Source organism: Homo sapiens, chromosome Y, assembly GCF_000001405.40.
Source record: "Homo sapiens chromosome Y, GRCh38.p14 Primary Assembly".
NCBI lineage: Eukaryota > Metazoa > Chordata > Mammalia > Primates > Hominidae > Homo > Homo sapiens.
Genome location: NC_000024.10, coordinates 3,822,862 through 3,837,853, shown reverse-complemented (window position 1 = coordinate 3,837,853; position 14,992 = coordinate 3,822,862). Strand labels below are relative to the sequence as shown.

Below are 14,992 nucleotides of genomic sequence, written 5' to 3'. Positions count from 1 at the left end.
ATATTATTTGATACAAAACTGATGTGTAATATACATGTTAATTTTAACACAATAATACAACAATCACCTATAAGTCCACTAGAGATAACCACTCTACTAAATCTTGTGTTTTTACTCTTTTGCTGTTTTTGTTACAGTTTTCTCACAAACGTATGTAGGCTTAAATAATGAAGTATTTAGGTAAGTTCTATAAAAACTTTGCCACACTGTAAATGATCCATGTTATTTTTTTTTTGCCCTCAATATTATGCTTTTAAGACTTTTCTGTGTTATGTGCAGTAATATTTTATGGTCTGATTTGCAATATTCCACTCTGTGAGGAAACATTAATTCAATTGTGTTTTTTCTGGTTGTTGGACATTTGGGCTATTTACATCATTTTGCCATTGTGAACATTACTGCAATAGACATTATGGACGTGTATCCCTTTGGATCCCCATACTCTCCAGGACTTGATATTATCAGATTGCTTAGTAGTTTAACAATTACAGGTAAATTACATTTTACTGTGTCTTAATATAAATTTCTTTGATTACTGAGATTGCTTAAATATGAGCTACTTTTTTATATACTGGATTGTTCTTTCTTGTTGATTTATGGCAGTTCTTTAAATAGTCTACATACGAATCTTTCTGTGCATACTAATCTTGTTTTAGTGATTCTTATTGCAAAAACATTCATCTACCTTGTGGCTTGTCTTTTCACTTCATGGTGTTTTTCATTTGTTTGTTTTGTTTCTGTTTTTTTTTTCAACTTTCATTATGGAAAATTTCAAATGTAGAAAAAGTTGACAGAATTGCATAATGAACCTCCACATACCATCATCCAGATTCAATGATTATCAATATACCAACATTCTTATATCATCTATAATTCACTCACACCCCACGAATGGCAAAAAGAAAAGAAATGTCTAACTACCCCATAAATTAATGCTATAAAAATACCATATTCACCCATATGTACTTGGCTGGTTTTATTTTTATGTTTGTATATTTGATTGTTTTGTTTTATTTTAGTCTGGGGCACTCTGGTATTGTGGCATCACAGTATCACAAATGATTTCAAGATGTTATAGAAAACTTAGAGAATTTTAAAAATTAAATTTATTCTATATTTTTGAAACAGACACTGAAAAGGTGATGTTTTAAAAGAAAGTATTTTATCCTCCAATTATTCTCAATATTATAATACAACCAAACATATTAAATAGTGTCCTGTGATTTTTATTACTAGTGCTTATTTTATAGAAAAACCATGGACTTGTGGATTGTGAAAAATAGCCAAAGATTGACTCATTGGAAGTTACAAGTTCCAACTTTTTGCATGGTGAAAATTAAAGTATGCAATCTAGATTTTTTTTAAATGTTGTAAACTAACTCTGCCTTCTGTTTATAATTAAATATACATATATATTTATTTTCCTGCTCTTTCTAAGAAATGCAAGCATCAACCCTGTAGTATTAGTATTGAACTGAAATCTATTAGAAAGTTTAATGTTTAGTTACTTTTACTCTCATTACATTGCTAACTAAAACACCGATTCAGATAATCACAAAATTCAATTTATATGTTTCTTAAAATACTGAATGCTTTTCTTTTAAAAAGTCATTTAGAACGGTAGCACTAAGCTTTAAAAAATCCTTTGAACTAACTTTGTGAAGAATGTTATTTCTCTGGGTTCCCAAGAACCCAAAGTACAACTATTTAAAAGTATTAATCATAATAATCATAAAAATAATGTGGCCTGGAGCAGTGACTTCTGCCTGTAATCCCAGCACTTTGCGAGTCTGAGGCGGGAGGAACACTTGAGGCCAGGAATTCAAGACCAGCTTGGGCAAAACAGTGAGACTCCCATCTCTACCAAAAACAAAAGAAAAAAAGAATGTGATCATATTAGTTTAAGATAATGGCATATTAGTTGTTATACAAATAATTTTGATTATAAAGGGTAATTTTGAATAATAATTGATTTCCAAGACCAAGGAGGATGGAAAATGGATATACGTCACAGCATTTGGTTTGCTTTGCTTTCAATTTCACACTCAATAAGCAAAGAACCAACAATATTTGGAAGCTTGTTTTAAGAGTTCTGCATCAGTAAAGCAGAGGCAATGAAAGTACACAGCTAGTCTATCCATCTGCTTATATCATATTTGGAAAAGACTATATTAAATATTTTGAAACTAATATGATTACAGAGCTGTCCATCATATTACTAAACTCCATATATTATTGCTGCATTTCTCTCTAATATTCAACATTTTTGATAGGAACAGTCTTGATTTAACTTCCATAAGAAATCATTGTTCTTAGTTACCTTAGAGGTGATATCATCTGCTGGAAAGGGTCAGCTCCAAGACAAGGAGAACAACAGATTTGGATTTTTTCTATCTCAGAAGATATAAGCAAACAAAACAAAATAACATATATGTTGTTTAGCATTGTTTTTCTCAGACTATGTGAGCTAGCTTGCAATGGAGTTGGGGGTGTTTTTCTGTTGAATTTATTTTAGTACTTCACACTTATTTTTAATTTTCACTTCCGTATCACTGAAAGAGCCCCAAGTTGGAAGTCAGAAAATCCATAATCAAGTATCTTTCTTGGTAATCTGGTATATTTGTTTTCTTATATGTAGCAAAGCAGTATTTTCTAGATCAAATCTAAGAATAATTTTAATGTAAGTTTTTGCTATTGTGTCACTGTATTTGGGCTGCTATAACAATATACTCTATATTGGGTAATTTGTAAATAATAGAAATATACTTCTCACAGTTCTGGAGGCTGGGAAGTTCAAGATCAATATACTAGCAGATTTTTGGTGAAGGCTTGCTCTCTTCTTCATAGATGGTGCCTTTTGCTGTATCCTTACGTGGCAAAAGGGCCCCCAAGCTCCCAAGAGCACAACTGCCATTCATGATTGCAGAGTCCTCATGATCTAATCAACTCCCAAAGTCCATACCTCTTAATATTATTGCATTGAGGATTAAATTTTAATATATGAATTTTTCAGGGACACACACATTCAGAACACAGCACTATTGTGTGTGTGTGTGTGTGTGTGTGTGTGTGTGTATAAAATAGACTTGGAATGTCTCGCATAGTTAAACATTAGGCCATTGGGTAGACACCAAGAGAAATGGACAGTAATGGCTCAAAAAGAATCTGAATTCTAAATAAAATGGGAAACTCCATCCTTTCTTTTCAATCTCTTAAGCCAATAGTCTTATCTTGCTTCTACGTTTTGCTTTAAGTTGGAGAAATTCTGAGACTGTAACTGCATATGCAAACAGAAGTTGAGGATACAGCCAGTTTTGGAGACTTAAAGGCAAAATAACTTGTTTTCTGTTTTGTTTTGTTTTTTATCTTGATGACCATAACCGTGAAAAAAAATGGAGATTGCTTCAAGGAATACTTTGAACAAGTATTTAGCTATTAAGGATTTTCCTCTTATGGAGAAGCTGTCAGATCATATGTTTCTTTTCATTTTCATGTTCTGATAAAAGGAGAAAAGGCAAGCAGAATTTAAAATATGTACATTAGATAAAAAATAAATTGCAAAATTTCCCCTGTATGCAGATACTTATCTAATAAGGAAAATCCATACAGAGTATCTTCAACTGTAGTTATTGATTTCAAATGGGCACAAAGAACTTACTAAGCAGTCACATAAGGTACTATAACAAGATTCCACAACAACATGTAGATTTCCCTACGCCTATAGTTCAGCAAATAAAATACTACCAAAACAATAAATCAGTTGGTTTTCTAAATATTTATAGTATGTTTACTATGTACCAAAGTAATGCACATCAACTCTAAAGTATCTAATGAACTCTAATAAACTCAGGTAATTACTAAAGTAGAATAAAATAAGCAGAGCTATAACTAGTAATCTTTCCATAATTTTACCATTCACATTTAAAATGGTGTTTGCTGTTTATTATTCATGTTATATTTACTGTTGCTAGTATTTTTTCTCATTTTCACATTGTTTCTTAAAAACTACAATTCTAAATACTGTACGTTATCTCTTTGTCATTATGGATGTAATTAATCCACAGTTGTTGAACATGTAAAGTGTCTTTAACTTTCTATGCTGTGAAAAATACTACAGTATATAGTTTTGTATACTTGTCTGTAAACACTTCTCTGATTATTTTTTCGGAATATAATCTTAACATTGAATAGCTTGTAAAAGAAAAGTACGTTTTTAAGGCAGTTACTAAATTTCCTTCCGGAAAGACTGCACAAATATGTTCTTACCAAAACTGTACAAGAGTATCACTTGGTTTCCTTACATCAACCAGCTTTGGCTATTATTATTATGAACAAAACATGATAATTTAGTAATTGAAGGAATTGTTCCTTTTCTTCTTTTAATATATATTTCTTTAGATATTGACATTTTATATAGGGACTATTTTAGTTTCATCACTTGTGAATTATTTGCTTGTGTCCTTCCAAGTATTCACTTCTAAAGAGTTAAATAAGTTACATGTGAAAGAGAAATCTGGTTTTAGCAAACAGTTGACACATATGGCCCAAGCTAACTCTTCACGGTACTTCATAGATGCAAAATAATTATTCCCTTAACTTTTATTTTATATGTACCGGGAGCTAAAATTCTTCCCTGAGATTACTTTGCAGTGTTTTAAGAATTCCAAAAGTGTTGGCATGTAACCTCGTATAATGTGCCTTAACTTAGTATGCCAGATTAATTGTAGGGGAAAATGCAGTGAATAATCAGCTTAGTGAGAAACTGCGTCATTAAATTGCATCTAAATGAGAATGCATCACTGTTCCTATTCCTGAACTTGGGTTATGTTACATTTTCCCCATATAAAACAATATCTTGGTAAGTATCCATACTTGATGCTACCTTAGTCTTTACCATTTTATACGAAGCTGTTGAGCTAAAATAAATAGACAATTATTTTAAAGCTGTAGGCAATTTTATTAATGACTCTAATCAATGATAGAAAAACAAAACATGTTTGTAAGAATAGGCTGTTATTGAAATTCAAAGAAACAATTTTAATTCTCAAATATAAGGAAAATATGCCATATAAGGATGCATATTCACAACAATAATCCTACTTCCCTAGCTACACTTCCAAGTCTAAGACAGTATAGCCCTAAGTCAGTCACCATTGCAATGCCATGCTTCTTATGTTCTTCCTTCTACTTATTATGTTCTCATTTATCCCCAGAAACTCTTCGCATTCTTCAATACCCACTTTGAGTATCATCCTCTCTGTGGAAGTATTTCAAAACTTCCTCTCCCACAACACTAGCGTACATTGTTCCATTCATGGTGATTTGTAAATGTTTCTAAGTGTCTGTTTCTCCAATCTCTTATTAAATTCTTTGATAGAGACTTTGTATTTACCTTGTATGTCTAGCACCTTGCAGGTTTTGATATATTAAAGATATTCAACAGCAATCTGTGAAATGAATACATTAACTGATGAATTAATTAAATAAAAACTGGGAAGTATTTAAATACATGTATAATTTGAGCTTTCAAAAGAAACATTGGACTATATTTTCCCCATTAATATATCAGTTTTTAAAAACTGTATTTCTTATTTTATACAATAATAAGTCTGTGACTTTATCTAACTAGGTAAAGGAAGGTGAAGAGCCAATTATCAGATTAATGAAATTAGAAAGAGCATTTTTCACATAACATTTTTTTCTAATATTTCATTATTCCTTAAGAATGAAAAATATTATATTTAATTGGCCTTTTTACTCTTTGCCATTTTATTTTTTTTTTTTTTTAGCAGTTTTGGAAGTACTGCTTGATACTCTTTTCCCATTCTCTGATAGGATGCAATTCAATCTCCATTTACTGCATTTGTATTCCAAGTATTTCACCAGTACTGGGAGTGGGGACAATGATGTAAGGCACAGTCTGCACTCTCAAGACATTTATAATCTATTGGAGGAATTATATGTATATAACAATTTTACAATTTTATGGTGTAGTTAGTACGATGAATAGACTATCAACATATATCTGGGAAAGGGATTGTTAATTTTACCTGGAGCTTTCAATGAAGAGCATATAATTCAAGAAAGCATTAAATGAAAGTAAGACCTCAAAGAAAGAGAGCAGAGGAAAGAAAGAACAAGGGGAACTATAGCATGAATTTGTAACATTGATGATCTACAACTATACTCTTTTAAAATGTTATATTAGAAATAGAAAGAGAAGATTGAGAATTATAACAAATTAGTGTAGCTTTTGAATTCCATGTAATTGAGTTAAGACTTTACATTCAGGAGTCAGCAAATATTTTTAAGCACAGAAATTGCAGAAATTGTTTTATGCTTAAGAAAGTCAACTCTGGCAACAGTGTGAGTAGAGCAAATAGACTTCAGCATTTGGAACTTTGAAGAATTAAGAAGCTGTGGCAATAGAAATGATCCATAATTACCTAGACATGATGGAGGTAGAACTGATAAATCTGGTGACCAGTTGGATAATAGAATGCAGTCAGATTTCTAGACTCAGCAATTCAAATGAATGACAAGTATCATTAACCATAAGAATACACAATACGTTTTTACAAAAAACTTATTCAAAGTGAAAATGGTATTAAAGAATGCATTTCATGATGCAAGAGCCATGCAGAAACTTATGCCTTTTACTTATCCCTGTTTAAAAGCCATAGAACGGGTGAATATACCTATAAAGTTCAGAGGAAAAATTTGTGGTAAAGTGCCTTTGAGACTTTCCTTATTCTGGTGATCTTTTCTTTTATATGAAGCTTTTCCCTCTTGTCTTTTCTTGACTAATATTTTAAAGTTCTAGATACCACATTTAAACAACTCAACTCATTTACCAAATACAGGATTCCCTGTTTTCTCACTTTCCCTCAAAATTGATCTCACTCCAATGCTGCCTCATATGTGAAGAAACTAGATCTTTCATATATGGCTAGTAGAAATGTAAAATGTCACAGCCACTCTGGAAATTTGTATGGTGGTTTCTTGAATAACTAAACATTCACTTAGCATATGGTTCAGCAATCACACTCTTGAAAATGTACCCTAGAGAAATGATAACTTGTGTCTACACAGAACCTGTTCATAGCAGCTTCATTTATAGTGCCCAAAAACTGGGAAAAATTCAGATGTTCTTCTGAATTAGACTTCACTGCTAAAGAAACCATAGAATGATAGTATATCCATAACACAGAATAGTAGTCAGTAATATAAATGGACTATTGATATTTGCAAAACTTTGATGAATTTTCAAAGAATTGCACTGAGTGAAAAAAACAAATTTTGAAAGATTACATAATATATGTGCTTTGGACTGAATGTTTGTGCCCCTCCCCAAAAGTATATGTTGAAACCCTAAACCTAAATGTGATGAGATTTCAAGGTGAGGTCTTTGGGAGCTAATTAGGTCATGAGGGTGGAATCCTCATGATTAAATTAGCACCCTTATAAAAAGAGAAAGATATTTGAAATATTTCTCTCTAGCCAGAAAGAAGGCCCTCATCAGAGCCTGTTTAGGCTGGCATACTGATCTCATACTTCCAGGCTCCAGAACCATGAGAAATAAATGTTTGCTGTTTAAGTCACCCAGACTATAGTAATTTATTAAAGCCGCTCCAACTGACTAAGGCAATATAATTCTATGCATATACCATTTGTGAAATGAAAAAATTATGAACATGGAAAAGAAATCAGTGGTTGTCAGGGCTTAGAGACAATGGTAAGCAGGGAGGAAGGTGTGACTTCAAAGAGGAACACAAGATAGACCTTTGTGGTAATGGAATATTTCCGTGTCTTTTTTGCAGTGATGGTTACTTGAACTTATACATGTAAGGAAATGGTATAGAACTATACAAATTTGTTGTACCAATGTCAATATTCAGGTTTTGATTGTGTGCTATAATTCTGTAAGATATAACCTTTGGAGGAAACTGAGTAAAGGTTATGATATGATTTGGCTCTGTCACCACCCACATCTCATCTTGAATTGTAGCTCTCATAATCCCCATGTGTTGTGAGAGTGACCTGGTGGAAGGTAATTGAATCAAGGGGGGAGGTTTTTCCCATGCTATTCTCATAATAGTAAAAAAGTGTTACTAGATCTGATGGTTTTATAAAGGGCAGTTCCCCTGCACATGCTCTCTTGCCTGATGCTATGTAAGATGTGACTTGGCTCTTCCTTTGCCTTCCACCATGATTGTGAGGACTCCCTCACAGTTAGCCATGCTGAACTGTGAGTCAATTAAACCCCTTTCCTTTATAAACTACCCAGTCTCAGGCAAGTCTTTATTAACAGCATGAGAACGGACTACTCCAGGGTACATAAGACCTTTCATCTTTGCAATTACTGTGCTATAATTAAATAATTCTTTAATAATAAACGGTTAAAAATGAAGTCTTTATTAAGACTACTTTTCCCCCAGGATTGACTTTGTGAGTATACAATCTGTGTGTTTATCATCAGGACCCTGAGCTTTTCTTAATGTTGTGCTGTTGCTGTGTTGAAACTCTTAATAAAATTTTAACAAGAGACCCCACATTTTCATTTTGCACAGGGCTCCACAAATTATGTATCTGGTCTTGGTTGCCCTAGTTAATTCCTGATATTTGTTTAAGACAGTATCAAACTTTATTTTCTTGTGACTCTTAGGAAACTTTACTCATTATCAGGTATAATTTTAATTTTTTTAATCATCATTTGAGACTGACAATTTTTCTTTTGTTCTCCTTCACCACAAATATCAAAATGAAAGTTGTCATTCTGGGGAAGCGGCCAAATACTTTAGAGACAACACGAACATCTTGCAGTTCAAAATAAAAGGGATAATCTGATTTTTATTTAATTAAACACAAGCCAGATGATAAATATACAGAACTGACTTTAAGGTATCTTCCCAACATACGTTAATTTTCAGTTGAATAAAAACAGCATATGTAAAGAACACTTTGATCCATTCTTTTTCTTTTAATCTTATTTTTTTTCACAATGATTCTTCTTACAACTCAGAACATTTATCCTTTTGATTATAAACTTCCCATCCTTTTTAAGTTGGATAAAGGATACTTGCTTGCTCCACATACAAGAATCATTTCAAGTGATTTATTATAGTAATAACAATAAGAATGACAAATTAAATCAGGATAGCACTTAAGGTACTTGCTAAATGCAAGTCTCCTAGATATTTGAATTGTTCATTCAGAGAATAGTAACTTTATCTGCATATAGCCACATTTCAAAATCAGAAGAGTTTATTTGGAATTTTACATTGTTCCTCCTGTAGCTTTCCTGTTCCAGTGCCAAAAGCAGAAGGGGGCTATCACTCTCCCTCTACTAGCTTTAAAGAGAAGAGGTAAGGACAAGAATGACATCTTGCTGACTTCACTTCTCCTTGCCCTGACCCCTGAAACTAAGTATGTGTAAATCACTCTTGTAATATTTCTGCCTTGGCTTATTATCCCATACTCTGTTTTTCTTTTTTGTAAATTCTCCTTCTTGCCTCCTTGTGGTTAAGTTCATTATCAACACCCTCTACCTTAAAATTAAAGTAATCAGAGCTATATTTTTCTACATTGATGCTTAAAACTTTGCTTTCTTCACCTGTACCTTGCATTCACGCTGTTTATTTCACTTTAAGATAATATTAATTAACTTATTTATTTATTTTGCTCTTTTATTTTTTTTATTTCAATAGCTTTTGTGGTACAAGTGTTTTTGGTTACACAGATGAATTAAATAGTGTTGAATTCTGAGATTTAATGTACCCATCACCTGAATAGTGTACTCTGTAGCCAATATGTAGTTTTTTTATCTCACACCTGCCCTTTACCTTCCCCCTTCTGAATCTCCAAAGTCTGTTATATCACTCTGTATGCTTTTATGTACTCATAATTTAGCTCCCACTTATAAATGAGAACATAAGGTTTTTGGTTTCCCATTTCTAAGGTACTTCACTTAGAATAATGACCTCCAGATCCATCCAAGTTGCTGCAAAAGACATTATTTTATTCCTTTTTATTTGAGTAGTATTTCATTGTTCGTATATACCACATTTTTTTATCCACTCATTGATCGATGGCCACTTAGGTTGGTTCCATATCTTTGCAATTGTGAATTGGACTGCAATAAACATATACATGCATGTTTTTTTTTTTTTTGATAATGACTTATTTTCCTTTGGGTAGATACCCAGTAGCGGGATTGCAGGATCAAATGGTAGATCTACTTTAAGTTCTTTAAGAATTTCCACACTGTTTTCTATACAGATTGCACTAATTTACATTCCCACCACCAGTGTATAAGCATTCCTCTTTCATCACATCTATATCAACATCTATTGTTTTTGAATTTTTCATAATGGCCATTCTTTCAGAACTAAGGTGGTACCTCATTGTGGTTTTAATTTGTATTTCTCTGGTGATTAGTGATGTTGAGTATTTTTCTCATACATTTTTTCATCATTTGCATATCTTCTTTTGAGAAATGCCTATTTATGTCATTTGTCCAGTTGTTGATAGGATTATTTGACTTTTTCTTGCTGACTTGTTTAAGTTCCTTGTAGATTTTAGATACTAGTCCTTTGCTGGATGCAGTTTGAAAATGTTTTCTCCCATTCTTTGTCTGTTTGCTGATTATTTGTTTTGCCACGCAGAAGCTTTTAAATTCAATCAGGTCCCATTTATTTTTGTTTTTATTGCTGTTGCATTGTCTTTTGGGGTTTAAGACATAAATTATTTTTCTAGGGCACTGTCCAGAAGAGTTTTTACAATGTTATCTTCTAAAATTTTGTATGGTTTTAGGTGTTGGATTTAAGTCTTTAATCCATCTTGAGTTGATTTTTCTATAAGGTGAGAGATAGGAATACAGTTTCAGTCTTCTGCATGTGGCTAGCCAGTTTTCCCAGCACCATTTATTAATAGGGTGTCTCTTCCCCAAATTATGTTATTGTATGCTTTGTTGAACATCAGTTGGTTGTATTTAGTTTTATTTCTGGGTTATCGATTCTTGTTCATTGGTCTATATGTCTACTTTTATACCAGTACCATGCTGTTTTGGTAACTACAGCCTTGTAGTATTACTTGAAATTTGGTAATGAGATGCCTCTGTATTTGTTCTTTTTGCTAAGGATTTGCCTTTGTTACTTGAGCTCTTTTTTGGTCCCATATGAATTTTAAGGATTATTGTTTTTTTCTAGTTCTATGAAAAATGATGTTGGTATTTTGATAGAATTGCATTGAATCTCTAGATGGCTTTGGGCAGTAGGGTCATTTTCACAATATTGATTTTTCCAATCAATGAGCATGGGAAGTGTTTCCATTTGTTTCAGTCATCTATGGCTTCTTTCAGCAACGTTTTGTAGTTCTCCTTATAGAGATTTTTACCTTCTTGGTTAAATATATTCTTAGATATTTTATTTTATTTTTTGCACCTATTGTAAAAGGGATTGAGTTCTTCATTTTATTTTCAGCTTGATCATTGTTGGTGTATAGAAGTGCTACTGATTTGTGTACATTGACTTTGTAACCTGAGACTTTGCTGAATTCGTTTTTGAAATCTAGGAGTCTTCTGGAGGAAGCTATAAAGTTTTCTAGGTATATAATTATATCATTGGCTAATAGTGATAGTTTGACTTTCTTTTTTCCAATTTGGATGCCTTTTATTTATACCTCTTGCCTCAATTCTCTGGCTAGGACTTCAAATACTATGTTGAATAGAAGTAGTAAAAGTGGCCATCCTTGTCTTGTTCCAGTTTTCGAAAGGATTCTTTCAACTGCACTACATTCAGTATGTTGGCTGTGGGTTTGTCACATATGACTTTTATTAATTAAGTTGAGTCCCTTCTACGCCTAGTTTGTTGAGGATTTTTATTATAAAGGGATGCTGGATTTTTTTGAATGCTTATTCTGTATCTGTTGAGATTATCATATAGTTTTTGTTTTTAATTCTGTTTATGTGAGTATTGCATTTATTGACTTGTGTATGTTAAACCACCCCTGCATCCCTGGGATGAAACCCACTGATGATTGTATATTATCTTTTTGGTTTGCTGTTTGATTAGGCTAGCTAGTAATTTGTTGAGAATTTGCATGTATGTTCATCAAGGATGTTGGTTTCTAGTTTTCTTATTTTGTTATATCCTCTTCTGATTTTGGTATCAGAGTAATACTGGCTTCATAGAATGAATTGGGAAGGATTCCATCTTTCTTAATCTTTTGGAATAGTTTTAGTAGGATTGATACCAATTCCTCTTTGAACACCTGATAGGATTCAGCTTTAATTCCATCTGGCCTTGGCTTTTTTGGTTGGTAATTTTTTATTACTGATTCAATCTCACTGCTTGTTATTAATCTTCTAAGAGATTAAGAGATTATATATCTTCCTGATATAATCTAGGGGGGTACATGTTGATATGGTTTGGCTCTGCGTCGCCACACAAATCCCACCTTGAATTGTAATAATCCCCGCATGTTGTGGGAGAGACCCAGTGGCAGATAATTGAATCAATAGTGGGGGTGTGTTTTTCCCGTGCTATTCTTGTGATAGTAAAAATTCTCACAAGATCTGATGGTTTTATAAAAGGGAGTTCTAAACATGCTCTCTTGCCTGCTGGTATGTAAGACACGACTTTGCTCCTCATTTGCCTCCTGCCATAATTGTGAGGCCACCCCAGTCATGTGCAACTGTAAATCAATTAAACCTCATTCCTTTATCAATCAATTACCCAATCATGGATATGTATTTATTAGCAGCCTGAGAACAGACTAATACAGTAAATTTGTACTGAGTAGTAAGACGCTGCTGTAAAGATACCCAAAAAGTGGAAGTGACTTTGGAACTGGTTAACAGGCAAATGTTGGAACAGCTTGGAGTGCTCAGAAAAATACAGGCAGATGTGGGAAGGTTTGAAACTTCCTAGAGACTTGTTGAATGGCTTTGACCAAAATGCTGATAATGATATGGACAATGAAGTCCAGGATGAGGTGGTCTCAGATGGAGGTGAAGAAGTTGTTGGGAACTGTAGTAAAGGTGACTCTTGCTATGTTTTAGCACAGAGGTTGGTGGCATTTTGCCCCTTCCCTAGAAATCTGCAGAACTTTGAACTTGAGAGACATGATTTAGAGTATCTGGTGGAAGAAATTTCTAAGAAACAAAGAGTTCAAGAGGTGACTTGGATGCTGTTAAAATCATAAATTTTATGTATTCACAAACATATGGTTTGGAATTGAAACTTATGTTTAAAAGAGAAGCAGAGCATAAACGTTTAGAAAATTTGCAGCCTCACAATAAGATAGAAAATAAAAACCCATTTTCTGAGGAGAAATTCAAGCCAGCTGCTGAAATTTGCATAAGTAATGAGGAGCCAAATGTTAATCACCAATATGATGAGGAAAATATCTTCAGGGCATGTCAGAGACCTTCATGGCAGCCCCTCCCATCACAGACCTGGAGGCCTAGGAAGAAAAAATGGTTTTGTGGGCCAGGCCTGGGGACCCCATGCTTTGTACACCCTAGGGACTTGGTCTCCTGCATTTCAGCATCTCCAACTGTGGCTAAATATGGCCAATGTACAGCTCAGGCTATTGCTTCAGAGGGTGCAAGCCACAAGCCTTGGTGGCTTCCCCATGGTGTTGGGCCTGCAGGTGCACAGAAATCAAGAACTGAGGTTTGGGAACCTCTGCCTAGATTTTACAGGATGTATGGAAACACCTGGATGTCTGGGCAGAAGTTTGCTCTAGGGGTGGGGCCCTCATGGAGAACCTCTGCTAGGGCAGTGTGTAAGGGAAATGTGGATTTGAAGCTCCCACACAGAGTCCCCACTGGGGCACTGCCTCATGGAGCTGTGAAAAGAGGGCCACCATCTTCCAGACCCCAGAATGGTAGATCCACCTACAGCTTGCACTGTGTGCCTGGAAAAGCTTCAGACACTCAATACCAGCCCAGGAAAGCAGCTGGGATGGGGACTGTTCCCTACTACAAAGCCACAGGGAAGAACTGACAAGACCATGTGAACCCACCTCTTGGATCAGTGTGACCTAGATGTGAGACATGGAGTCAAAGGAGAACATTTCATAGCTTTAAGATTTGGCAGCCCTGCTAGATTTTGGACTTGCATGGGGCCTGTAGCCCCTTTGTTTTGGCCCATTTCTCCCATTTGGAATGAATGTATCTACCCAATGCCTGTACCCCCCATTGTATCTAGAAAATAACTAATGTGCTTTAGATTTTACAGTCCCCTAGGTGGAAGATACTTGCCTTGTTTCAGATGAGACTTTAGACTGTGGAGTTAGTTCCTTTTGAGTTAGTGCTGAAATGAGTTAAGACAATGGGGGAAGTGTTGGGAAGGCATGACTGGTTTTGAAATATGAGGACATGAGATTTGGGAGGGGCCAGGGGTGGAGTGATGTAGTTTAGCTCTGTGTCCCCAGCCAAATATCATCTTGAATTGTAAGAATTCACATGTGTTATGGGATGGACCCAATAGGAGGTAATTGAACCATTGGGGTGGGTTTTTCCCATGCTGTTCTCATGATAGTGAATAAGTCTCACAGGATTTGATGGTTTTATAAAGGGGAGTTCCCCTGCACATGCTCTCTTGCCTGACACCGTGTAAGACATGACTTTAGTCCTCATTCACCTTTCACCATGATTGTAAGGCTTCCACAGCCATGTGGAACTGTGAATCAATTTAACCTCTTTCCTATATAAATTACCCAGTCTTGGGTATGTCTTTGTCAGCAGTGTGAGAACAGACTAATACACGTTTCCAGGAATTTATCCATTTCCTCTAAGTTTTCCAGTTTGTGTATATAATAGTGTTCATAGCAGTCTCAAATGATATTTTGTGTTTTTGTGGTGTCATTTGGAATGTCCCCAGTTTCACTTATAATTCAGTTTATATGAATTTCTTCTTTTCTTAGCTAATTTTGCTAATGGTCTATCAATTTTGTTTATCTTTTCAAGGAACAATAGCTTTTTGTT

At 34.2% G+C, this 14,992-nt stretch overlaps 1 long non-coding RNA gene across 2 annotated transcripts in view; it reads right to left on the bottom strand.

The window, feature by feature from the left end:
* Nucleotides 1–2,295: 2,295 nt before the first annotated feature.
* Nucleotides 2,296–14,992, bottom strand: part of LOC105377227 (uncharacterized) — a 34,908-nt gene continuing 22,211 nt past the window's right edge. Inside the window, exon 3 of one of the 2 annotated variants that reach the window (XR_001756054.2) lies at nt 2,296–2,390. This is a non-coding gene — a long non-coding RNA (uncharacterized LOC105377227). Of the gene's footprint in view, nt 2,391–4,817; nt 5,448–14,992 lie in introns of those variants that run through there. The other variant, XR_001756053.2, reaches the window with a different exon arrangement.